At 41.6% G+C, this 26782-nt stretch overlaps 1 protein-coding gene and 1 long non-coding RNA gene across 34 annotated transcripts in view; one reads left to right on the top strand and one right to left on the bottom strand.

Moving 5' to 3' along the window:
- Positions 1–26782, bottom strand: part of CHRM3 (cholinergic receptor muscarinic 3) — a 528883-nt gene that overhangs the window by 13006 nt on the left and 489095 nt on the right. The window contains exon 9 of one of the 33 annotated variants that reach the window (NR_164748.1): positions 15847–16356. The exons of the other annotated variants lie outside the window; for them this stretch is intronic. The gene's annotated coding sequence lies outside the window, so the exon portion shown is untranslated. Of the gene's footprint in view, positions 1–15846; positions 16357–26782 lie in introns of those variants that run through there. 33 annotated transcript variants of the gene reach the window in all.
- Positions 2573–4426, top strand: CHRM3-AS1 (CHRM3 antisense RNA 1). The gene is made up of 2 exons (NR_046582.1): positions 2573–2681; positions 4053–4426. It is a non-coding gene; the product is annotated as a CHRM3 antisense RNA 1 (long non-coding RNA).

Raw genomic sequence — 26782 nt, 5'->3', positions numbered from 1 at the left:
AGAGTTGAAAAGCTGTGGTCTTTCTTTGGAGTTTTGCTGATTTGGGTCTGAGTTCTGGGTTGGCCCAGGAGATGTATAAACTTACCAAATTACTTGACTATTTTGAGACGACCTTTCTTCATCTATAAAACTAGAATACTATCGCCTGATCTGTAGATTATGGAGAAGATAAGAAGCATTGTGGTGTTGTAGGCTAATACTCTGAAGTATTAACGGGGATCTTGCCTCCCTTCTCCCAATGCTAACTTTTTGTGTTCTCAGGGTTGTGTTGTTACTTTAGAAACACAGGGAGAAAGAAACCAGTGTTTCCTCATTTTTTGCTTTTTAAAGTAGATTTTAAATACTCTGGTAGAGAGAAGGGATTTAAAGATAAGGGCTTTGAAACTGCAAACACTTGGTCTTCTGAGCATCAATGCATGGTATACTGACCTACACACTAGGAAAATAAGAAAAATCTCCCCTTGCCACATCCAGAGTGAATAAATTGATAATAAGTACTACAAAAAGGTGATTTGGAAGTATTAATTAAAACTGAAAAGGCATGTACACCATGAACTAGCAATCCAACTGCTAGGTATCTACCCTCTAGAAATTATTGCATTCGTATGTACACAAGGAGACACGCCCAAGGCTATTAACTGAAGCATTTATTTTTATGACAAAAATGAGGAAAATCTATAAGACCATTCGTTTTGAAATGAATTCAAAAATGAGGTCATTCATAAAAGGGAATACTATGCAGCAGATAAAAGCAATCAACTAGATATATATTAACTTAGAACCATCTAAAAATACTTTGTTAAGTAAGAAAGGCAAGTTGTGGGATGACAAATACAACACGATAAAATTTAGTTTACAATAAAACACAGCAATAGTATACTAAAGATTGTACATGCCTGTATACTAAAGGTTGTATACAGACATATAGACAGATACCACCTTTAGTATATTAATATAATTAAAATTGTCATAGAAGGATAGAAAGATTTACATGCAAATCATATATTAGCAGTGGTATTTTGGAGGAGGAAGATAAAATTAGGATTGAGGGTGATGGACAAAGAAGACTTCAGCTCAATCTGTAATGTCCCGAATGAGGAAAAAAAAAAAAATCCCAAAGTTTCCGAAGCCAGAAGGAAGTGAAGAAGAGAGTTAAAAGGGGGCAGATATTGGTGATGGTTGCCAAGGAGGGCTTGGAATCTTGCCTTACACTCTGCTGTTGCTTTTAAATGCGGAGAAGGTTGGAGGAAAAAGAGGTCGCATCTGATAATATTGATCAGACTCAAAGAAGATGCGTGCCTCATGCCCTCCTGTCTGGTGCCCAGAGGTGGCAGCTGCTCAGAGGTCACTAGGTCACCATGGCAGAAGCACCGATGACCTGAATGCCTGTGGTAATGAATTCTTCCTTAGTCTTGCCTAAGACGTAAACTCAGCTGGGCGAACACCTTGATTTCAGTGTTGAGACCCTGAACAGGGAACCTTGTTGTAAGCTGCTAAGTTTGTGGTGATTTGCTATGCAGAATGGGGCCACAACAGGCAGCTTCGAGGCAAGTTATACAAAAATGAAATGACTGATCTTGCTCGCCTGAATACGATGGATTAAAAATATTATACACACTTTACATGTAAATGAGCAATGTATTGTCTCACACATAAGAAATCCTAGTTCTACTTGGGTTGTGGATTTTCTCCCCTCATTGCTGTAGGGGCCTTTCTTGCCTTCGTCCCTCCAAGGGAATATTCAGCACCTGCCATACCTCTTCTGAGCACACTGTCTTTTCTCGACAGCCCAGGTGAGGTACATTCCTGGTGCTCCCCAATCTATTCATATCAAGGCTGTACCCAGCTTTATCAAGGAAGACAATGTCCCTATAGGGCCAGGAAACAAGATCCCTCCCACCTTCTTTCAGACATTTTCTATGAACTTCTCCGAGGCCTTGGGGCCACGGCCTCATTAAAAGGACTGTTCTCTGGAGGCTCAGCAACGGAGGTCCTATCGGTACCCAGGATGACAACAGGAGAAAGTGATCAGCCGGTCATAAGGATTTCAAAAAAAAAAAAAAAAAAGAATATCTAAAAGTACTTATTAGAAATGAGAGTCACCAAATGTTTTACTTCAGGTATATCTATTATTTCATAGGTAATATGTAACTTCCTGAGAATCAAGACTGTAGGTCAGACCCAAATGAAGCAGTGATAACCCCGGGCTAAGAGCCCTCAGTTTACGGTGATTTTCTGAGTAGAAGGTATCATTCCTATGTTTAATATTCCTTCCTCATCCTGACTCAACAGCTATTCCATAGCATTAGGATATTTTGAGTCAAGGAAGTTCACAGTCTACACTCATTGAATTGAATGATATTGGTGAGGGGACCTACAGGAAGTCTTTCCTTGTAATGCTCAGGAATAAACAGGTGGTGGGAACAGAGATCCTTGTCAGCCCAGTGACCTTCGCACTTTATAAGTAATCCCAGGCAAGAGTTCTAGGAATGCAGCCTGCATGAGGGCTCAGGGCATGGTCAGATAGGGGCAGACCAGGGGCAGGTGCCTGGCTCCTCTCTGGGGTCAGAGCAGGCTCCCTCCCTGCCAGGTTGTGGGTGCAACATTCAGGGAATGGTTACTGAAGTGTTCCAGGCACCAGAGCTCAGGCAAGAAGTGGAAAACTGCGCAAGATCCTGCACGTGGGTACCATCAGTGCCTTTGTGGGGAAGTTACATCTGTGTGTATGTATATATACTTAGTATATATATACGATATACTTAGTGTACTTATATCGTGTATATATACTATGTACTTAGTATACTTACTTATATACAATGTACATATACTTAGTGTATATATACATTGCATGTTGAACTTACTATATATATACACACACACTACACACACACACTAATTGGTCCGCTAATTGGCTGTTGCATTTTGAACTTGGTATGTGTGTATATATACATGTGTGTGAGTATATATACACACATATATACGTATGTATATACATATCATATACATACATGTGTATAGATATGTGTGTATATATGTATATGTGTGTATATGTATATGTGTTTATATATGTATATATGTATTTATGTATATATACACACACACTAAATTCAATAGATATATATGCGTGTGTGTATATACACACACACACACACACACACACACACACACTGAGTTCAAAATGCAAGAGCCAATTAGTGGGCCAATATGAGAATTAAAAAAGAAAAAAATGTACAGCAAATTGAATAGGACGTATCAGAATGCATACCACATAATGACAATCAATATCACTTCATTAAATTTTTGCTCGACATACACACACGTATAAAATTATGTCTATAGTCATGATGTACGTACAATGTATTTTGTGTTGAATAATGTTGGAAAGCCACTGCAGTGGATATTTTGACATCTTTTATTAATATTTAAAAGAAGAGGGTGAAACAAAAAATGTGAAAAAAGACAAAAAAGTTTGACAGTACTGAATTTAGGAGAAATTGAAGGTTAGTTCTAGGAAATTTGCCTTCTTCCCCCTAGTTATGGCAAAAAATAACTTTTCTGGGGTTATAAGTCTGTGAAATATATAGGTAAATTTAAAAAATTTAAAAATGTGTAAATATCCAGTGTGAAATACATGTGAGATTGCTTACAGAAACGGACAAGGCCAATATACATGTGAGGCTTCTGGTTATAATGAATTCCAAGGAGATAAACTCATTTCATGTCCTCTGAGCCAACCGGGCAGTACCTACTTGGGAAAAATGTTTGAGGGCTCTCGATTTTTAAACCTGCTGAACCAATTAAAAGCGTATAAATTTTTCTAGAAGTCTAAATTAATTCTACGTCTATAATAATAATTATTTTTTTAAGTGATGATATGGGAAAAACCCAAAATATCTTTGCAACATACAGCCGTGCGTTTTTTCTCAGACCAACTATTTAGTGCCTCTTCCCTATTTGTAATCCAGTCTGCGTCATTTTTCAGGGCTTGTTTTGGGTCTCTGACTGCCTTCTTTGCTTAGAGTGTCTCTGTTTTCTGTCATAATTCACTATAGCATTCAACGGCTAAAATGACTTTTAAAACTACCTGGTGAATGGCAATACCACATCAAACCACTAGGTGGCAAAGCAGACTCGGAGAACGACCTCTCTGCCAGCAGGCGCTGAAGCAGCTACCCGTTCCCCATGCTGGTGACCAGGAACTTCAGCTTAGCTCAGTCATGCAGTTCGCGGAGGATATCAAACAGAGTCAACAAAGCTTTGCAATCAAACGTGTCTTTAAAGGGAATCCAACTTGTGAACCTGGCTCTTGATATTCATTTGAAGCTGCAAGGGGGAAAAGATGTTACCTAATATGGAGCAATGGCTCTTATTGTGAACAAAACATCTCTGAACACCAAAACCGGAATAAAATTCTATTTAAAAAGGGGAATTTTTTTTTTAGAAAGTTGATTTATCTTGCTGCCTCCTCCCTCGGTTGCCACTTTTCATGGGTTTTTACTTGATTTGATAAATATGGACCTTGACAACAACAATGCAGGGTGCTTGGAAAAGGATTTGCATCAGGACCTCTTACGTGTAGCAGTAGCTGCTGAAATAACAGTTTTTCCTCAAAAACAAAAACCTAGATTCGACTGATGTTTCCTTGCATTAGCACTCGCAAGTCTAAAACCTTTTGTCATTAGAATATCTAAAGAAATGGCACGAAGTGAAAAGCAGGCGGGAGAGGTTCTTGTTAAATATTAGTATGACCCCTTCACCCAGAAAGGGCAGACTCCTTGTTGCTGAAGTTACTCTTTTCTGAGAGAAACAGGGAAAGAGTGCAGCTGGATTCTGTTCCACTGCAAACAGATTTGCTGATTACTGTTCAACATTTTAAAGAGGTATTTATTATTATGTGTTTTTAATACTGTGCCTTTATAGTGGAGGATAAAGAACAGTGCTTTTAAAATACCAGCTGATCTAATATAACTGTGGAAGTTATTCTGATGAAAAATCTAGTGAAAACAGTCATTTGGACTAAATATTTCTAATATGTCAGTTTAGGTACTGAAAGGACACCTGGTGAAGAAAATTCCTTTGGCTTAATATTTATGCTTTCATGATTAAGTTAGACTCGTGATCGCTTTTTTTTTCCAGGTCCATATTTATCAGAGTATTTATTTTTATATCTGGACATGTTCCACACATCTGATTTCCCTTCAGACTTCAGCCTATTTGCACGCCCCAACTCATGCACGCAGATAGAACTGTATATTTGCAAAGAGAGTAGAAGCAATGTGGGAGGCGCGCATTAAACGCCTAACAACCTGCCATAGCATGCAGGGCCAGGAAGTACACCCGATTCTGCCACGTGGGCACATTGCCTAGGCACTCTGATCCTACATCCTCATCTACAAAATGAGGATTATAATACTTGAGGATGAAATAGAATCTGTATAAAGCACCCAGTATAGCCTGACTGGCCCACAGCAGTTTCTCAAAAATGGTAAAATCAATTCCATAATTTTTCTATGGCTGGTTGACTTTACAGCAAGGTCTTTTTCATGCCTAACAAGAGCTAACATTTGTTGAGTATAAAGCAGTGGTTTTCAACCCAGGGTGACTCTGCCCTAGGGGATATTGGGCAATGTCTGGAGCCACTTTTCTTGTCACAACCTGGGGAAAATGTGCTACTGACATATAGTAGGCAGACGCTATCAATGCTGATAAACATCCTACAATGCACAGGACAGCTCCCCACAAAGAATTAAGGCTGCTAAGATGTTGATAGTGCCGAAGCTGAGAAACCCTGCTCTAAAGGGAGATCATACAGACCCAGAAAAATGTAGAGTTGTGTTTCTCAGGAAAACCAGGAAAATGTCCTGATACTAATTAATGAGGCAAACTCCACATCTCTTCAAGAATCAGGTCCCACTTCTCTGGAAATCACATTCTTCACCCACCCAGCAAAAAAGGAATCTCATATTCACGTGTTCAACTCTTCAATCATTATTTCACACAGTAAATGTGTTTGAGTACTGCCTACAAGGCTTAGACTGGGGATGTGGTTCTTGTTCTGGAAAACCACTTGTTGGCAATGCCATGAACTAAACAAAATAATTGCAGTGGAAGGAGCAGTATAGATGATTAGCTTTGCTTGAGTTGATGTGGTGGTAGCAAAGATAAGGACATTTTGTGAGTCTTGAGGAATAAGACTCCAAGCTGCCATGTAGTCAAGAGAGGACACAGCATTCCAAACAGAGGGAAGAGCCTATGTCCCCGATGCACTCTGCACATATTCCTGTTACCTCACAGAGCACTTCACTGTGTCTCTCCCAGGACGGCACAGACCCCGGAGGGACACTTTCATCTTCACCTACTCAAGTTTGTGCCTTGAGAGTTAGCATAAATGTCTTTCCCAGAGCAGACCTAGAACGATTGCCTCTACTCTGTTTTAATTGAGATGAATAGTTACATTTTGTTGTTGTTTTTTAACCTCGAGGTTCAGGGGTACATGGGCAGGTTTGTTACATAGGTAAATTATGTGTTGTGGGGGTTTGGTTTACAGATTATTTTGTCACTCATGTAATGAGCATAGTACCCAACAGGAGATTTTCAATCCTTTCCCTCCACCCACCCTCCACACTCATGTATGGCCCTGGTATATGTTGTTCCCTTCTTTGTGTCTATGTGTACTCAATGCTCAGCTCCCACTTATAAGTGAGAACACGCCGTGTTTGGTTTTCTGTTCTTGCATTACTTTGCTTAGGATAATGGCTTTCAGCTTCATCCATGTTGCTGCAAAGGACATGATCTCATTTTTTATGGCTGCATAGTATTCCACAGTGTATGTGTACTACATTTAAAAAAAATCCAATCTATTGATGAGGGGCATTTAGGTTGATTGATTCCATGTCTTTGCTATTGTGAACAGTGCTGTAATAAACATATGCATGTATGTGTCTATAGGGTAGAACAATTTGTAATAGTTACCCTTTGGATGGGAGAACCAGTAACAGAAGGGCTCGAGAAAGCAAGATCTGTGAAAAGGCAGGAATGGAGGTTGTGTCCGATGAGCAGTAACTTGGAAGGATGGAGAGCAGAGGACTGGAGACTGCAGAGGCAGCTGGAAGGAGGGCTGAGAAACAAATTCGGGCTTTCTCCCAAACTCTCCCAGTGGCACTCGGGAGGGATGGACCCAAGAAACGAAAGAATTCAGTGGAATCCATCTTTCAGCATAGAAAGGAAGTACAGCCAGGAGAAGGGGCATCCCTACATACGTGGGCAGTTGTCGTGGAACTGCTTCAACCTCTACTGCTGCAGAGAAAAAGAGGTGAGTTCTCCGTAAACACATCATCTCTTCAAATGTCCATCTGGTCATGGACACAATCCAGCTAGATTTTTCTGAGGAAAAGGAGCATCACATAATACAGAAATTGTTTTGTAATTGTTCTTTGCTGCCCTCGAATTTATCTTCCAGGGCAGTGAATGCTTGCCATATACTGAAGGCACCAGAGGGTCTTGCAAGGTGCTAGACAGCCTGAATTTGTGTCCTGGCTCCTCACTTATGAGCCGTGAGACTTCAGGTTAGTTATTACATCTCTGGGATCCTCTGTGCAACACCAGAAAATGAAGACTAGTAATACTGTATGGTTAAGTGATTCAATGAAACAGGAGGTAAAGCCTCTGATACAGTTGTTGGTGGGTTAAGCTTTATAAATGGAAGACTTCTCGGTCGGGCGCGGTGGCTCATGCCTGTAATACCACCACTTTGGGAGGTCAGGGTGGGCTGATCACTTGAGCGCATGAGTTCGAGACCAGCCTGGATAACATGGTGAAACCCCGTCTCTACTAAAAACAAAAAAATTAGCCAGGTATGGTGGCACACACCTGTAATGCCAGCTACTTGGCAGGCTGAGGCACGAGAATCGCTTGAACCTGGGAGGCAGAGGTTGCAGTGAGCTGAGATCGTGCTACTGCACTCCAACCTGAATGACAGAGTGAGACTCCATCTCAAAAAATAAAAATAAATAAATAAATAAAATAAAATAAATGGGAATCTTCTCTCCTGCTTCCTGCACACACTCACGGCTGAGGTCCCTGGGCATGCCGGCAAGGCGGCCACCACAAGGCATCCACTTGCGCCTGTGCCATTCCCTGTTTAAATATTTGAAATATCCCTTGTTGAATATATACGTTTTTATTTTACTATTAGGTTGTTCATCCCTTGAAGACAATATCAAAAGCTTTTTTCCTTTTCCTTCCTTTATTGAGTTTCCAAATCTGTCTTAGACTCTCCAACTGTGATGAAAATAAAGTGGTTCCTTAGTAGATAAAATGTTTAGTGGATCCATATTTGATGCCTATGGCTTTATTAGTCATCAGTTTTTCTTAGAAAAGCAAATCTGGCCAGAAAAAGACAGTCATTGTGATTCCTCTCAACAAGATGAGAGCAAAAGACCCTTAAAAACAAAGTGAATTCTACTGACGAAGAAGAAGGAGAAGTGGAGGAGGTGAAGAAAGAGATAAGATACAAAGCGGAAAAACCTCACCAATAGGAAAAACTGGGTAAGATACCGAGCAAAGAATTTTATACATGGCTAAGGGATTAAAAACTATTGTGAGATGAATAGGAAATTATGGAAATGAGAAAAAAACCCTACAATTTTATTTTGATTTCGATTGTTTTTTCAGGGACATGTTTTCTAAATTCTTTTTTTTTTTTTTTTTTTATGATTTCAAAGACAAACATCATGAGAACCTCAGGGCATTGCAGATTTTGACCCTACCCTTTCCTCTGCTACTGCTACAGCTGCCAATCACTTCTGTCCTTCAAGGAACCTCTGTGCTTTTCTAAGTGAAATGCATGTAGTGACTCATTTCATCCACACAATAGCCATACGAGGTGGGGACTGTTATGATTTCCACTTTAAGGGTGAAGAAATGGATGTACCAAGGAGTTGAAGACTTGTCCCAAGTCACACGGCTAACTGTAAACACAGATGCAGGATGCCACACACACAGGCTGGCTCTCAGGTCTATTTCCTAATCTCTGCCCTAGTAAGCAGATCTTCCATGAACAAGCAAAATTTTAAAACAATACCTAAGCTTATAAAGCAGAAACTCAGTCCTCTTGCCCTTGCCTCTCTCATTCCCATGCCCTAGAGGTAATCACTGGTAGCAGTTTACTAAGTAAATATTTGTTAGATGAATGGTTATGTTCTTCCAAAATGTGTTCTTTTGCAAAATGACATATGCATATTTTTAAACACTCACTGTGTGCCAGGCACTGCTCGCTGTGTGTATACATATTAATTCATTTAATCCTCACCAGGATCCTGTGAATTAAGAGACTATTATTTAGTCACCAGATGAGAAAATGAAGACACAGAAAGGTTCTGAGACTGGGCCAGTGTCACACAGCTCCTAGGAAGCCAGAGTTAAGACTTAAACCAAAGCCGTCTGATCCAAGATTTTACACCCAACCCTCCAATGTGTATTATGTGCTCTAGCTTGCTTTTTATTTTCATTAAACAATATATTGTGGACATCTTTCCTATTCAGTGCAAATAAATCTATATGTCACACACACTTTAAAAATAACCCCAAAACATAAAGAGACACTGTCCAGGATTCAGATGTTGGCACATTATGTCCTTGGCTAAAATAGGATTTCCAGGACAGGAAGGTGCATGAGACACTGTGTTTGCTGAAGACTCTTTTAAGTGAAATGTTGCAGAGCTCAGCATCAGTGAGGCCAATACAAATCTAAGATACTCTGAAAAAAAATAGCTAGTTTCTAGATTCATTTTTCCCCACTAGATCTATTATAATTTTCATAAAAAATTAAAGCTGCATGTCTCATTTTACCAGTGTCAAAGGAGCTAGTCATCAACCATCTGTCCCACATCATAAAACTGTGTAAAATCAAATAATTAATAAATATGCAAGGATTGCAATGAAGTTTAAGATGGATCAGGAGCTAAGGAAACAATTTTATTAAAACAATAAACTCCAAGGTCATGTTCAGATTTTGATTAAATCATAAAATGTAAATTAAATTCTTTAAACTTGGTACGCAAGAATAAAAGATGATTATTTCAATGAAAGTACCACCTATCTGTGAAAATGAAACAAGTACAGAAACTGCAAGAATCAAAATAAAATAATAATAAAATGTCTACTTTGGCACAGCCTATATAATTAAATATTGGAAAACAATGATCTCTTGTTTTGAATTTCCTGAAACCAAATGGAAACTAAAGCTCATGTCACTATTAATTCTGGCTCTACGGGATTAAAAACAACAGGCCAAAGGAATAAAGTTGAACCAGTCACACAAAACAGTGTGAATCCTTATTCTAAAACATGAGAGGAATATGACTGAAAAAACTAAATACCAAAAGTGTGTGTAAGCTAATAAAATTCTAAGCCTCTTACTTGACTGAACAGACCATCTCTTGGTCAAAGGGACCCTAGGGTGACCTTGAACACCGAGTTCTCGGCTGTGATGGGATAGATCAGACACACCTTGCTATACCCCCACCCTTAATAACTAGGATGAAGCTTTCTTCCCTTAAGGCTGACCAGAAACCAGCCCTTTCAAACTCCACTCTGATATCAACCAACCCCTGATGCTACCCCTCCTTCTTTGCCTGATAAGAGACCATCTGCCATGGAGTGGCTCTGGCCAGCCTATGGAGAATGTGCAGTGAGGGTTTTCGTGTCCTCTGCTTCACCCTTTGACAGTCAGAGGGCTGGAAACTCAACCTTCGGGTCATGCTAATGCTGCCATTTTTTGTACATGGGACCCAGGAAGGGGCATGAAGCTCAATTGTGCATGCATACATTTCTCCATTCCTAAATATTAATGATGCTTCCCATAGCTTATTAAATATGTATATTAGGCCACCCTACTCAGCAAAATTCCTGTTCCCTTTGTGTCTGTTTCTGCTTCTGACGGGAAGTTATGCTTCTTAGCCTGTCAGAATGGCCATCCTCAAGGTGCAACTCTTTATGGGAAATAAAGCTCTCCTTTCCAAACTCATGAACCTCGTCATTTTTCAGTTGGCATGTGAAAGCAATGCAAATGGAAAGATTTATTCAGAGGGAAAAAAAGAAATCATACTGAAATTTATTAATAAAAACAAAAATTAAGTGCAGGTTGAATGCTGAGGTTAGGTGTCTGGAATTATTTTTAGAAAACCCCATTGAATTGCACCTCCTCTGGGCGATAGAACTCTGGCTGCCTGGGGTGTGCATGAGGATCTCAGCATAGAAGGTCCCTTGCCCTGATAAGTTCAGATGTGTCATCTTTCCCCACCCACCTCTAGGCTTCCTGAGGACAAGAAAGGGGCACATATGCATATACAGGCAGTAAGTAGACAATTTAGAACCATGTACACCTGATTGCAAACTGTCCGCGTACACCTAGGTCACCAGTGCAGATGACTTCATCCTGTAAGGCTTGTCTTTCCCTTTGCTGGGATCTTATATGAAGGGTACATAATTCAGTGGCTGAGATGTAATGAAGTCCCTATCTGTGGTAAATATTATCAGTTGGATCTTACTGATGATAACATGCATCAAACACTTTATAGAATTACTATGTTGCAAAGGAATGGCCAAGCTTCTCCAAAGGAATTCTTTTTTGCAATTGCCAACTCCCAGATTCAAATGATTTAAAAATCTTTATGATGCTAGTGGAAGATTCAACATGTCTTATTGTGTTAATATTTGAAGTTGCACTGCACCATGTTGTACATAGCATATACAACATGCTATGAATGTTGCTGAATTGTGATATTTCAGGATGCACAATATGACCCAAAGTGTAAGTGACCCTATAATAATTGGTACTGCCCACCATATTTTGAGCACTTACTGTGGGTCCCTCAATATATGGCATATATATTCATTAGATTAAATCCTTATAATAATTCAGTAATTCAGACATTATTCTCAATATTGTATGTATGAGGACACTGATGCTCAGAGGGATTAAGAGGAAACTTGCTTGAGGAACATTTGACTAGTTAAGTAGCAGTACTAGGAAATGGACTGTGTATGCCAAACTCTAAAACTAAAACACACTCTCCATTTTTCTTTTTTTTTTTTTGAGATAGAGTCTCACTCTTGTTGCCCAGGCTGGAGTGCAATGGCATGATTTCGGCTCACCACAACCTCTGCCTCCTCTCCGCAACCTCACCTCCTGCAGCCTCACCGCAACCTCGGCCTCCCAGGTTCAAGCGATTCTCCTGCCTCAGCCTCCCGAGTAGCTGAAATTACAGGCATGCCCCACCAGGCCTGGCTAATCTTATACTTTTGGTAGAGACGGGGTTTCTCCATGTTGGTCAGGCTGGTCTCAAACTCCCGACCTCTCCTTGGCCTCCCAAAGTGCTGGGATTACAGGCGTGAGCCACCATGCCTGACTCTCCATTTGTTTAACTTACACTACTGTGGGGTCCTCTTGTGACTGGCATTAACCATGTGATTATTGTTATGTTCATACATTTCCAGTTCTACATTCAACACAGATTTGATTCCTCTTTACTCTGTGACAGATATACCAGAAACTGCCAAGACTAAAGGCCCTTTTGAAATGTACACTATACTCCTTGAGCCAAGCATTATCTTTCTCTCTCACCACCATCATTATGCCTGATGCTCTCTGGGAAGACTGTCATTTAAAATTGGTTAAATTTCTGATTGAGCTCATAAGCACAGCCTCAGCCCATCCCAGCCCAGGTGTGGCAGCCCAGGACTGACTGGCTGAAACATCATCTCTCCTGAACCACTGATAAAGTGAATGTGATACAGGAGGTAGAAAGAAATTATTTAGGCAGATAGTGTAAAAGAGTCCTTGGCAGAGCTTCCCTTTCAACAAAAAGCGGCCCAAGAAATCATTTTTTTTCTAATAAAAAGCAGCCTGAAAAATCGAGCTGCAAACATAGATAAGCAAGCTGGAAGCTTGTACAGGGGAACGCCGGCAGCTGTGCCAATAGAAAAGGGCTACCTAGGGGCCAGGCATGTCCAACACGGAGGCTCCATCTTCCCTGTTTGTGTTATCATGTGTACAGCAGAGGGATGGACAACATGGCACAGGTCAGGCAGAAAACCTACTTGCATAATAAAAGATTAGAGGGGGGGCTACCAGAAATTGACCCCTATGCAAATAGTGCACCTAGTCCTAGCCAGTTTTTCGTGCCCTAAGCAAATGGTACACCTGATCCAACCAATCTTCCGTGCTCTATGTAAATCAGACAACACCTCCTCACCAGGCATCTATAAACCCCCCTGCATTCCACTGTGGATCCGGTGATCCATTCCTCCAGGACCCCTCTCTCCAGCAGAGAGCTATTCTGTTTCTTACGCCTGTTAAACTTCCACTCTTTACTTCACTCTTTGTGTGTCTGCGTCCTTGACTTCCCTGGCCATGAGACAGTGAACCTTGGTTATCACCCCAGACAATGAGGCTGCTTCAGATGGACTGGAGTATAATTACCAGCCCACTATGGAGATGACAACGTACTTGGTTGTCCTCCGTTGCTGGCTTAGCTTGGTTACTCAGTCTGCATAAACCATGGGTAAGAGCCAAAAACAGAGGTGGACTGAGTCCTTTGAGTGGGTTTTACATGATAGAAGAAGTAGCGTTAAGATCCCTGCATTCCTTCCCTTAACACTGGCCAATTAGCAAACCTGGGTTTGGGACACTACTGATGAAACTTAATTGTTCAGGGAGGTTGATTAACATATTACTTGGTTTCTCCCCATGAAGGCATCGGGCAATTGCATCAGAATTGATGCAATGCTACATGATCCCACCTAATTCAGTCTATTTTTCATTGCCACTTTTTTTTTTTTTTTTTGAGACAGGGTCTCACTCTCTGGCCCAGGTTGGAGTGCAGTAGTGCGATCATGGCTCACTGCAACCTCAACCTCCTGGGCTGGGCCCAAGCAATCCTCCTGCCTCAGCCTCCTGAGTAGCTAGGACTACAGGTGTGTACCACCATGCCTGGCTAACCATAAAAATGTTTTTTGAGTGACAGGGTCTTGCTATGTTGCCCTTCTTCTTTTTTCTTTTTTCCTTTTTTTTTTGAGACAGAGTCTCTCGCTCAGGCTGGAGTGTGGAATGCAGTGGTGCAATCATGGCTCACTGCAGCCTCAACCTCCTCAGGCTCAGGTGACTCTCCTACCTCAGCCTCCCGGGTAGCTGGATCTACAGGTGTGCACCACCATGCCTGGCTACTTTTTTGCATTCTTTTTTTGTAGAGATGGGGTTTTGCCATGTTACTCAGGGTGGTCTTGAACTCCTGGGCTCAAGCAATCCTCCTGCCTTGGCGTCCCAAATTCATTGCCATTCTTACTGATATATGACTGTTGGTGTCAGAATGCATTTATCTCCAGAGATAAACACCACAATAACCATCAAGACCACGACTTAAACAAGCAACTCAACTATGCAACAAGGCTATGAAAGTAAAGGCCTTTTATAAGATTTGTATTTCAATATATTACAAATCAGGGACAGATACAAGCTTTGTGGAAACTGAAGCTTATACATTTTGCTGTGTTTCCTTTAACAAAATAAATACAAAATTATGAATATAAAACACCATTGCTCCACTATCCCTCGGGGGTCCCTTGAAGTTTCAGCTTTATTAGCTTCAGAATACATTTTCTGATTTCAATAAAAATATAGATGATCTGGGTATAGCTGAGAAACCGACACTTTAAAAAACTTGTATACTGAATGACTAACTAAAGATAGGCATATTCATATACTTAGAAGTAATGAAATGCTCTTCAAAAACATCTCAACAGATGCGAATAAAATGCTGGAAGTTCTGATGCTATGAAAAAGGAAATTCAACTTGCCCAGGTGTAACTTATTCCAACAAATCAAGTTTCTGAAGGTTTAATTAGCTTTCAAAGCTGTCTGAAGGCCTGGCACCATGGCTCACGCCTGTAATCCCAGCACTTTGGGAGGCTGAGGTGGGGGTGGCTAGGTCAGGCTGGGGGAAATCACTTGAGGTTAGGAGTTTGAAACCAGCCTGGCCAACATGGTGAAACCCCGTCTCTACTAGAAATACAAAAATTATCCATGCATGGTGGCGGGTGCCTATAATCCCACCTACTCAGGAGGGTGAGGCAGGAGAATCGCTTGAACCCAGGAGGTGGAGGTTGCAGTGAGCTGAGCTTGCCCCACTGCACTCCAGCCTGAGTGACAGAGTGAGACTCTGTATACCCCCGCCAAAAAAAAAAGCTTTTTGAGCACTCATGAGTTCCCATGACACACCATGAAATTATCACATTCAAAAAAGGAGAAAAGAAGAAGAAAGTGGATTCTCTCTGCTGGCAAGCTGGTATCAGCGCACACCCTATAAAGTAAAGGAGCCCAGCTGGAAACACGAGGAACATGAATGAATGCTGAGTCACACAAGCAGTTGTTTAAGGAAGACAAAGAGACAAATCAGGACAAATAAACATCATGGGAGGGTGGTGGAGGACAGAAACATTAATTTTTGTAAGAATGATAAAGAATAACAAAGAAAAGGTCGCTTTGATAAAATCACATATCAAAGGAACATTTATGGAGGGTTGTTCTCCAAGTATCTGGCAAAACGTGGTTCACAGAGAAACCCGGTAATGCTCTTTGGAACCGGGCTGGAACACAGCATACGTTGTGACAAATGGTACCATATCCAGCTGCAGGCAGGTGTCTACCACAGTTCCTGAAGGAATGTTAGATTTAGCTAACTTAAAATTCTTAATTAGAGATCTGGAAATGAATGTTAATGAAATTTTTACATGATATTAGATTTGCAGCTATTGTAAGCACAAGCAAACATATGGAAATCGATGGACTTGCCTACAATTATATGATTTATTTAAGGAAAACCTCTGACCAGATGTTACGCTCTCCATGGCCACTGAAAATAGAAGACACACAGAGGGATTAAGTTTAAACTGATTCCAGGAAATATTTAAATAAGATATGATAATAAGACAGAAGAGCTGGCCCTGAGAAAATGTTGCCATGGGAACGTCTATTTTTTTCTTCCCTGTGATATTTTAAATTAGAATCCATATCCGTCAGGGTTGGAAACCCTCAGTGCACATAACCCAAAGCAGTATCACTGGTCTTTGGCACCTCCTCCTCCCAAGGGGACTCTTCCTTGGTCGGTCATCCATGACTCAAGGTTTGCTTTTGTGCGCCTACAATTGCAGCCCAATACTTTCCTCTGTTGTTTCATCAAGGTTTGGGTACGAGAGAAAATGAGGTTCGACGCTCAGTTTCTGTCTCAACAACCATCCGGATTCATTCTTTTCTTCTCTACTTTCTCAAAAATATCACCACCATGTGCCTTTCACTGGCTGGAAGTTAAAAGCACATTTATAAGAAATTAGGAGAGCAGCTTATGTGGTATTAAATGTTTTAACAGAATGTGGTTGATCATTTAGACTAAAGACATAGCTACACCAACACTTAGAAATAGCTCCCAGCGTATTTTCATTACCCTTGCCCTCAACAAGCCAGTGAGGCATCAGAGAAAGGTTAATTCCCAAGTGACACATCAGACAAGGAGAATGACCTAGGATAAATATTTTCACCCAGTGCCCTGGGATCATTACCTATTCAGTTTAGTGTCACCTTCCGCTTATTAGAATGACCTAGTGGAGACTTGAAGGTTCCTTTAAGGATGGGACCTTGAAGGGGAAGGTCAGCGCAGGTGTTGAATTTAGGGAGGATTAATGGCTTGGTCGCTGTATATGGGAAGCACTGAGCAGGTGTGCCTGTGATCACAACACAATGAATGCGTCGCTGAAGTACACTTGCAGAAAGTCATTGTTTGGCAACAAAGTTATTACCCAATAAACTTACCTACAGGCAAAAAATATACTGAGGGCTTTAGCACAGAAACATGTTGTGATATTGCTCTCGGTACAAGAAGGAGCCCAAATATCTGTCAAAAAGCCGACTCACTTAATTAGATCACTATATACTTGACTCATCAATTTTCCAGACCAGTTGTCATCCAAGTGTGGTCCCTGGAACCCCAGCATCAAGCAGCAGCAACTGGTTACTTGTTAGACCTGCCCATTTTTGGACCGTACTCCGGACCTCCTGTCACTAAAACTCAGAGGGTGAGGCCCAGAAATCTATGTTTTAACAGGCCTTCCTTCCAGGTGATTCAGATGCACGCTAAAGTTTGAGAATGACAGTCCTAGAGGACTATCACATGTTTTCCATATCATCTGCTTGCAGAATCAAGAGACAATCATAGACTGGGTAGTTTGGAGGTAGTTCAGGTCAAGGATATCAATTATTTTTTATTCCTTTTAAGGCACCTGCTTGTTAAAATTTCTCCAATGAGCTCTAGAAAGTCTTTCCAAGCATTCCTCCTGGCCACCTTCCCAACTCCAATTCTTAGCAGTCCCAGATTCTAAACAGGCAGTCAGATTGTTGTAAGGTCTTTGCTGGTGAGAAGGGAGTCAAGGCCAGCGGCATGACTCATGTCGTCCATCTGTAAGGCATCCATTGGTGGGAGTGAACCATATTATGCTTGTTTTTTTACCAGCCACTTAACAAGAATTCGCTGTTTATCTTTCTTATGAATTCAGTCTCCTAAGGTTTTGAGGGATATTTTAAAAACTTTACGACTTTTTTAAATGAAGAGTAATATTTAACATCTACTAGTAAGCACCATACAACTGCTGAGTTTACCTGCCTGTATAGGCATGCACAGTTCAGTGAGAATAACTAAAAGATAAAAAGAAATTTCAAGATGTCTGTGGCGAGCCATTTTTCCTACCCTTTCCCACCCATGTTTATACAGCAGAGGTGAACCAAATCAGTCTCAAAAAAGCTTCGTTAAGGAGACTTTTAAGAAGTAGTTAGTGCAATCTTCAAGCATCAGTGTATTCATTTCCTGTATTTTCCATAATGAATGACCACAATCTGAATGGTTTAAAACAATAGAAATGGATTCTCTCACAGTTCTCCTGGCCAGAAGTCCAAAATCAAGGTGTTTCCAGGGCCACACTCCCTCCAGAGGCTCTAGGAGAGAATCCTTTCCTTGTCCCTTCCAGTTTCTAGTGGCTCTGGGCATTCCTTGACTTATAACTACATCAATTCAATCTCTGCCTCCATGGTTACACTGCCTACTTGTCTTCTCTCTTCTCTGTATGTCTTGTATGAGGACACCTGTTATTGGATTTCGGGCCCACATGAATAATCCAGGATGATCTCTTCCTCTCAAGCTCCTTAACTTAATTACATCTGCAAAGACTCTTTTTCCAAATTAGGTAACATTCACAGGTTCTGAGATTAGAATGTGGTCGTATCTTTTTGGGTGACCATCATTCAACCCACTATAGTCAGCATAACATAAAACATGCAAGTTTGGCTATTCTCTTGAGATCAGAACTGTTATCATCAAACTACAGCTGATGTGTGTGGGTGTTTGTTGGGGTTCTCTTTTCATACGATAAATATATTCCCTTTGGAACTCTAGGTCAGTGTGTTTTTTATTTGCATTAGAAAAATTTTAAGAGGAGAGATGCTCTTTCAAAAATACTTCAAAAGAAGATCAAGAGATTAGAGTAGGGGATAAATATAGACATAGATGTAAGAAGTGCTGCAGTAGACAGGAGACATTTTGTTCTTAGTTCCTTTACTTATGTTTATATTTCGTTTATTTATTCAGATGTTCAACAAATAAGAATTGACTGTGTGTGTATTTGTTCAAAGTAATGGTGGAACACAAACCAAGAACTAGACTTAGTGGGTTCAAAAACACATACTACTTTTGTGCCCCAAGGCTCAAACTAAGGCTCAATTTCTCTGCCTCAGTTTCCTCATCTATAAAACACAGAGTAATAAGAGTACCTAAGTGTGGGGTTGTAGGGAGGATCAAATAAATTTAGTAAGCAGTTAGAATGCTCAGCACATAGAGAGCAAGCAGTGTTTGCTAAATAAGTAATATAAACATGCCAGCCTCTGTGCTAGCTTTTAGGATGAACAAAATAAATGGAAGAGTGCATTACACTAGAAAAAGCTTCAAAAAGCATGGATGGACCTAACTGAAGTGCTGCAAATGAAATGAATGAGGGGCATAGTTGGAGATGAAGGGTGTGTAACTGGGAGGCCCTATCTTAGATAATGTGGGGAAGAGATGCCTCTAATGAGGCGGCATTTAACCTGAACACTAAAGAATAAATAAGTGATGGAGGAACATCACGGCTGAGAGATGTTGTTTCTTGATAAATCAGGTTGTTTTACCGTTTACGATGATGAGTCAAGGGTCAGGGTCATTTATCCCACTGAGTGAGTGATTAAATGTTGTTGTGTGTGTTTCAATAGAATCTAGACAAGAGGGGGTGGAAATAGGCAGAAAATTCTCCTGAACTATAAAGAAATATCCCATGCAGAGGAAAACACTTAGATATGTATTTCTTAACCTACTGGAGCAAGAGGATCCTCAAATCATCTTGAAGAGATGCCTTTCTCTGCGAAGAGCCGCCCCTGGGCTGATGAGTCTCCAGGAGTATAAATCACCCTCAATGTCAATTTCACTTCTTCATAGGTTTATTGAACACCCACTGCGTGCTGGGCAGCCAGTGTGCCCTGCCTTAGGGGCTGCAGAGACTCTGCTTTCTAGCAGCTCAGGGCCTGTGACAAAACACTAGGTCACGTGGCCTTGTAGTAGCACACACATATGATATTCTAAAGATATGTCCATTGCAGATTATAATAATTTAGTATAGATTAGTTTTTCCTTCAATTTTAGTATAGATTAGATTTCCCTTCTTAATGCATCCATGCCAGTTAGCAATTGTGCCATTCACATCTTTTCCTAAATCTCCATGAAGAGTGATGTCAAAAACCTTAGGCAACTTCCTGCATCTCTCTGTTATCTCTCTGTACCTAAGTGGTAAAACGGAGGTTGATAACAGCACCTATCTCATAGGATTGTGCGGGGATTAAAAGACGTTAAAAGTATTCAGAATACATTAAAATACATATATTTTGAACAGTGTCTAGTACATGGGAAGGACTCAATATGAGTTAAATGAATATTGCTATTATTATTAGTATCACTAGGAAACCTCTTAAATCAAAACAAAATAAAAGCAAATAAAACTAACAATCACCTGCACGCCAGAGAGGCACCACTACGAATTAGCATATGATTTAGGGCAAGTGGTTGTTCTCTTTAGGCCTCAGTTTTCCTCACGGTTAAAATGAGTACATTGGGCTGGGGCGGTGGCTCACACCTGTAATCCCAGCACTTTGGGAGGCTGAGGCAGGCAGACCACCTGAGTTCAGGAGTTCGAGACCAGCCTGGCCAACAAGGCGAAACCCCATCTCTACTAAAAAAATACAAAAATTAGCGGGGCATGGTGGCGGGTGCCTGTAATCCCAGCTACTCAGGAGGCTGAGGCAGGAGAATTGCTTGAACCCGGGAGGAGGAGGTTGCAGTGAGCCAAGATGGCACCACTGCACTCCAGCCTGGGCGACAAGAGCGAGACTCCATCTCAAAAAAAACAAAAAAGAATACATTGAAGGTAATGAGTTGTCCTCCAGTTGTAAATCTGTAGAACTCTATATATCTAAATACCTCAGTGCTTATGTTGATCTGGGACTTATCAAAATGGTCCTGTTTGTCCCTGTTTGCAGGGAAAGAACCACAAAAGGGTAGAAATTAAAGGGGCTGGGGGCTTTGCTGACAAGGTTTTCTTCCTTTGGTGAAACTCAAGCTCAAAGAACTTACTTTAAATAGTTATTCAAAGGGCATAGGAAGCAGATGGCTGAGTGTGGGTTCCAAGTCCCTGGCTTGGGAAAGAACCCTGGTACAATTAAGGTAAAATCTGGAGATTCGGATGTTTTTCCGATTGATTTATGACATAGGAAGCTTTGATGAAAATCTGATTGAGAGAAGTGGTGAGGTAATCAATGATTACCTGAATGATAACCCAGGTACATGTGTGGATGGAGCCCCAATCAACTCGCCATTTTGTTTTCTTCTTTCCCAATTTATTTCATTTTTTTTTCCTTTCCCTTTCTTTTCCCCTCACCCACTTTCTCTTGTGAGGCCAGCTGGTGGCAGCTCACGCAACAGGCACTAACTCCTTTCTGGTTCAGGGATTGTATTCTTTTTTTTTTTTTTTTTTTTTTTTGAGACGGAGTCTCACTCTGTCGCCCAGGCTGGAGTGCAGGGGCGGGATCTCGGCTCACTGCAAGCTCCGCCTCCCGGGTTCACGCCATTCTCCTGCCTCAGCCTCCCGAGAAGCTGGGACTACAGGCGCCCACCACCACGCCCGGCTAATTTTTTGTATTTTTTGTAGAGACGGGGTTTCACCGTGTTAGCCAGGATGGTCTCGATCTCCTGACCTCGTGATCCGCCCACCTCGGTCTCCCAAAGTGCTGGGATGACAGGCGTGAGCCACCGCGCCCGGCCCAGGGGTTGTATTCTTTTACTTAGCACTTGCCTGCTGTCTTTATTACTATCTTGCCCCCAGCCTCCTCAGCTGAAAACCAAGATTGCTGCTGTTTCTTCTTCTAAACTTGAAACCGAAGGCTAACCTGATTAGGCCTGCCAAACGTAAATGGCCTCGCTTGCTTTTAGTTGCTTGCTTCTAGTTGATTTTAAAACCTACATGGCTGGCTGGGCACGGTGGCTCACAGCTATAATTGCAGCACTTTGAGAGGCTGAGGTGGGAGGATCACTTGTAGGCCAGGAGTTTGAGACCAGCCTGAGCAACAAAGCAAGACCCCTGTCTCTACAATAAAAATAAAAATAATTAGCTAGGCATGGTGGTGTGCACCTATAGTCCGAGCTACTCAGGAGGCTGAGGAGGATGACTTTGGCCCAGGAGTTAGCGGCCTCAGTGAATTATCTTCATGCTGCTGCATGCCAGCCTGGGCAACATAGTGAGACTCTGTCTCTAAAACAAAACCAAACAAACCTCCACATAGCTAAAGTTGCATGGCCAAATAATATATAACTAAACTTCACAAGCTTCTATATAGATAATATCTCTGATTATAGGTTATCATGGTAATGGCCGCTTAAGTTGTATTTTCAGGAACTTGGGGTCAGCTCTCATCCAGGTCAAGCCAGCTGAGACCAGCGACCCTCCAACTGGGACTGTGTGACTGCTCCATGGATGACCTTTGGGTATCACAGGGCCAAAACCCCATCATCAGATCATGCTAATAATTCCATTTTGTAAACATGAGTCCTATGAAGAGCCACAAGGCTTGACTACACTTGCTCAGATCACCAGTTCCCACACTTTCCTTACCCCCTTCTCTATGCCTCGGATTGCCTTGTTCTTTTATCCCATGAATGTCCCTCAACCCTGTCTTTGGAGAGTTGGGTTTGGGATCTCTTCTCCTGTCTTCTTGCTTTGCTGCCTCGTGAATAAACCCTTTCTTTGCTGCAAACCTCATCACAGTGATTGGCATACTGTGTGACAGGCAGAACAAGCCTGGCTGGGTAACAAACTCACTGGAATATCATATACATTAATAGCAACAAACAGATGTTTGAAATTATCATTATAGTTTCATGGTCCTCAGAAAGAGATTTAACCTTAACTATGTCCAGTGTCATTGTAGCTGGGGAGGGAGAGACTTCTATTGCAGCAGAGCAACCAGCTGTGTGTGACCGTGGAGGGACCATGTGGTTGACTGGCTTTGTTCTGGATCAGCAAGTACTTCTCTAAGGGGACTGGAGAGACAAGAAGGAAGAGGGCATTTCTCTCTCCTCTCTTGCTTTCATTGCTGCCGGATTCTGCACACTGGGCGCTGCCAGGCTGTGGCTGCTCACGCCTGTGGGGAAAACAGTGCCCTGTGTCTGGTCCAGCCAGTTCACCCGGGAGCCTGATGTTCAATTTGATGATTCATGGCTTCCTTGCCTGGGGAATTTTCAGATTGAAAGAAAGACACCTGACAGATTTATGGATGTTTTAATAAACACAGGCAAGGCAAAGTTGGCTTCTGAGCTAACACATGGATATAAATACCAGACTGATAAAACCTGGAAAGCACAGGCCGTTCTAATGATCCGCAGAGGCTGCTTTGGCTGTGCTGTTTCAGGTGGTGCTTCGCAGGGTGGGCCAGCAGCAGCAGAATCTCCTGGGAGCCTCACAGAAATGCACAAGCTGGGTGCGTTGGCTCACACCCGTAATCCCAGCACTTTGGGAAACTGGGGTGAGAGGACTGTTTGAGCCCAGGAGTTTGAGGCTGCAGTGAACTATGATCAGGCCATTGCACTCCAGCCTGGGCAACACAGTGAGACCCTGTCTTAAGAAAAAAATGGAAATGCACATTCTTGGGCCCCATCCTAGACCTGCTGACTTGGAAATTCTGGGGGTGATACCCAGCAATCAGTGCTTAGACCAGTTCTCCAGGCAATCCTGAGGCAAACTTAAATTTGAAAACCCCTGACGTAAAGGAGTTTGGATTCATTCTCTCTGTTGTACCTCTGCACTTGCCACTGTAGACCTGTAAAGTCCTGTCTTACCCTCCATGGCCACCTGGTCAACCCCAGCGAGATGCTGCTGGAGCCCTTCCTCCTCAGGCTGAATTAGGGGTGTCCCATCTAGGCAGTTACAGAGTGACCAGCATGTACCCTCACGTGGCAATGAGTAAACTGACCTGTATTTTAACTATCTGATTCTCACCTCCCTTAACACCTGTAATCATCTGAGGGCAGAAGCCTGGTCTTAATCATCCCCTTTGCCCTCATGTCCGACAAGCTACCTGGCCCAGAGTCAGTGCATGGATATATAGGGCATATATATGGTATATATGGTGAGGGAGAAAGAAGAGAGATTTCATTAAAAAAAAAAAATTTAAAATACTGAGAAGATAGTCATTACTGTATATAGCCGGGATCTCCAAGATGCAGGCCACAGACATGTACCAGTCTGTGGCCTGTTAGGAACTGGGCCACACACTAGGAGATGAGTATGGGCCAGCAAGCGAAGCCTCATCGGTATTTACAGCTGCTCCCCATTACTCTCATGACTGCCTGAGCTCTGCCTCTTGTCAGATCAGCAGCAGCATTGGATTTTCATAGGAGCACAAACCCTATTGTGAACTGCATTTGCGAAGGATCTAGCTTGTGTGCTCCTTATAAGAATCTAATGCCTAATGATCTGTCACTGTCTTGCATCACCCCCAGATGGGACCATCTAGTGGCAGGAAAATAAGCCCAGGGCTCCCACTGCTTCTACATTATGGTGAATTGTATAATTATTTCATTATATATTATAATGTAATAATAATAGAAATAAACACTTTGGGAGGCCGAAGCGGGTGGATTACAAGGTCAGGAGATCGAGACCATCCTGGCTAACATGGTGAAACCCTGTCTCTACTAAAAATACAAAAAATTAGCCGGGTGTGGTGGCACGCACCTGTAGTCCCAGCTACTCGGGAGGCTGAGGCAGGAGAATGGCATGAACCTGGGAGGCAGAGCTTGCAGTGAGCTGAGATCGCACCACTGCACTCCAGCCTGGGCGATAGAGCGAGACTCTGTCTCATTAAAAAAAAAAAAAAAGAAAGAAATAAAGTGCACAATAAATGTAATGCACTTGAATCATCCAGAAACCACCCCCTCCTCTCCTCCCCATCACAGAAAAATTGTCGTCCACAAAACTGGTCCCTGGTGCCAAAAGGGGACTGCTGGATATGGCATTATCTGTAGAAAGAAAAAAAAAATCTGAATATTTCCCCTCATGAGAAGAAGCATGAAGCAGCCCATTGACACCTGGGTTTGAATTCTTTCACAGAGCTGTACGGCCTTAAGAAATTCAATTCACCTTTCTTAGCCTCAGTCTCTGCATCTATAAAATGGAGATATTACTTTCTGCAGCAGTTTTGAAAGTTATAAATAATATATAGCAGTATCTGGCATGTAACAGGTGTTAACTAAAAGGAAACTGACATTATTATTCACCAGTTAGGGTTTATTCACCACGTAGTTGAAAGCCATTCATTTTATTCTCTCCTTTCTTTTTTTTTTTATTTTTATAGAAATGGGGTCTTGCTATGTTGACCAGGCAGGCCTTGAACTTCTGGCCTCAAGTGATCCACCTGCCTCAGCCTCCCTATTAGCTGGGACTACAGGCATGTGCCACTGCCATTTTATGCTTTTAAAAAATAAAACTGTGGCTCCCCTGAAGCCCCTAACTTCCTATAGAATTTTAAAGAAAAATGCCTTGATATTTCAAAATAAAAAAACTTTCAATTAGTTTCCAAAGGGATGATTCACTAGAATTTAAATTACCTATGAGTACCTTTTATAGATTAAAATTGCAAGCAAACAGGATGACTCTGTGTGTGTATGTCTGGGTTTCAGAAAAAGAGAGAGATGGGGCATTTTTAACCTAAATTTGCTTATTTTCTGTAAGTCTTTTCTAACTCAGAGATTTTTCCAGACATTTTGCACTTGCTGTCTCTGTTGAAGATACCAACTATGATTCATAGAAGGTGAAAACAAAATGACATTTATGTCTTTTCCTGAGAGTTGTTCAATAAGTAGATGACTTCTTGCAAATGTGCCTGCTTTGATGAAACCCCAAGCTAAGCAAATAAGAGTAAGGGTCATGAAGTGAGTGCTGAGTAAACACTAGGGAACTGATTGTCAGCCTAACCCAAAGAGAGAGACATATATATAGCATACCCCAAAGGCCGAGTAACCTCAATTGGCTTCCTACTTTCTGCTGTTTATTCCTGCCCTTCTGAGGCATGTGATTGACCAGAACAGGACAGATGGCATCCTCTGTCCCAGGAATGCATATCTGGGACTGAACGGCAGTCAGTGCATCCCATGGTGGAGGCTGGTCTCATGCACAGTGGAGATGTATATCTATGAATGTCATCTTCCACTCACCATTTATATAGAGACATAGAGAGAGTTGGTTTGCAGAGGAAACTGAGGCACAGCTGAAGACACAGAACTGCTAGGATCCTAATGGCTTTCCACGTTCCAGTTAGGGCCTTCCATAAGCCTGGCTCTCTTCTTGCCCTCGGATTGCCTGAGATACCTCGCTATCATGTCACCAATCCGCCCTTTTGCTTACACTACCTCCAGCTGGTTTCCAAAACTGATATAAGCCATAGCAATGTTGTGTTAACAATAAATGCATACCAATAATTTAATATTCAGAAACAAGATCAATATGAAGGGAGTGGACTATGTCTGTGTATAATTAATTGTTCAGTTATATAAGAAGATGTCTTAAAATGAAGCTGGCTATTCAAATAATTCCTATAGAATGGGCTAATACTACTAAGATCTGAACGAGAGATTAAACTGGACCAACGAGCTGAACATATTTGCCACTTTCGGGTTTTGAATGAGAAACAAAAGTGAGTTCTTTAGCACGTCACCAGTGGGAAAGGTATGGCAATCAGCTTTTTTGATGCTCTCACCTCCACAATTCAAGGATTGAGGTGTAGTCTATTATAAGGGATGCTATTTCCTTCTCCTACAACATTTCATAAAACTACCTTTAAGGGGGGAAGCTGGAGTGGCAATAAGTGCTCTGATCTGGGAATGGGGGAGCAATTCAATGTAAATTGCTGCCTTTTAATTCATTTGATATTGCCTTGGAAGAAATGATAGGAGAGACCACAGGAAACATTATGCAGAAAAACAATAACTCTCACTTAATTTTGACCAGTTGCTACTCATTACCCCAACATGCTAAATCGAACACCAGTATTGAAGACCAACAATGTGGGGCAAAATGAATGCAAAGCGACCATGGCTACATGATACTG

The sequence above is a fragment of the Homo sapiens genome, chromosome 1 (assembly GCF_000001405.40).
Source record: "Homo sapiens chromosome 1, GRCh38.p14 Primary Assembly".
Lineage (NCBI taxonomy): Eukaryota > Metazoa > Chordata > Mammalia > Primates > Hominidae > Homo > Homo sapiens.
Note: the sequence above shows the minus strand (reverse complement) of the source record. Positions and strands in the feature narration are given on the sequence as shown.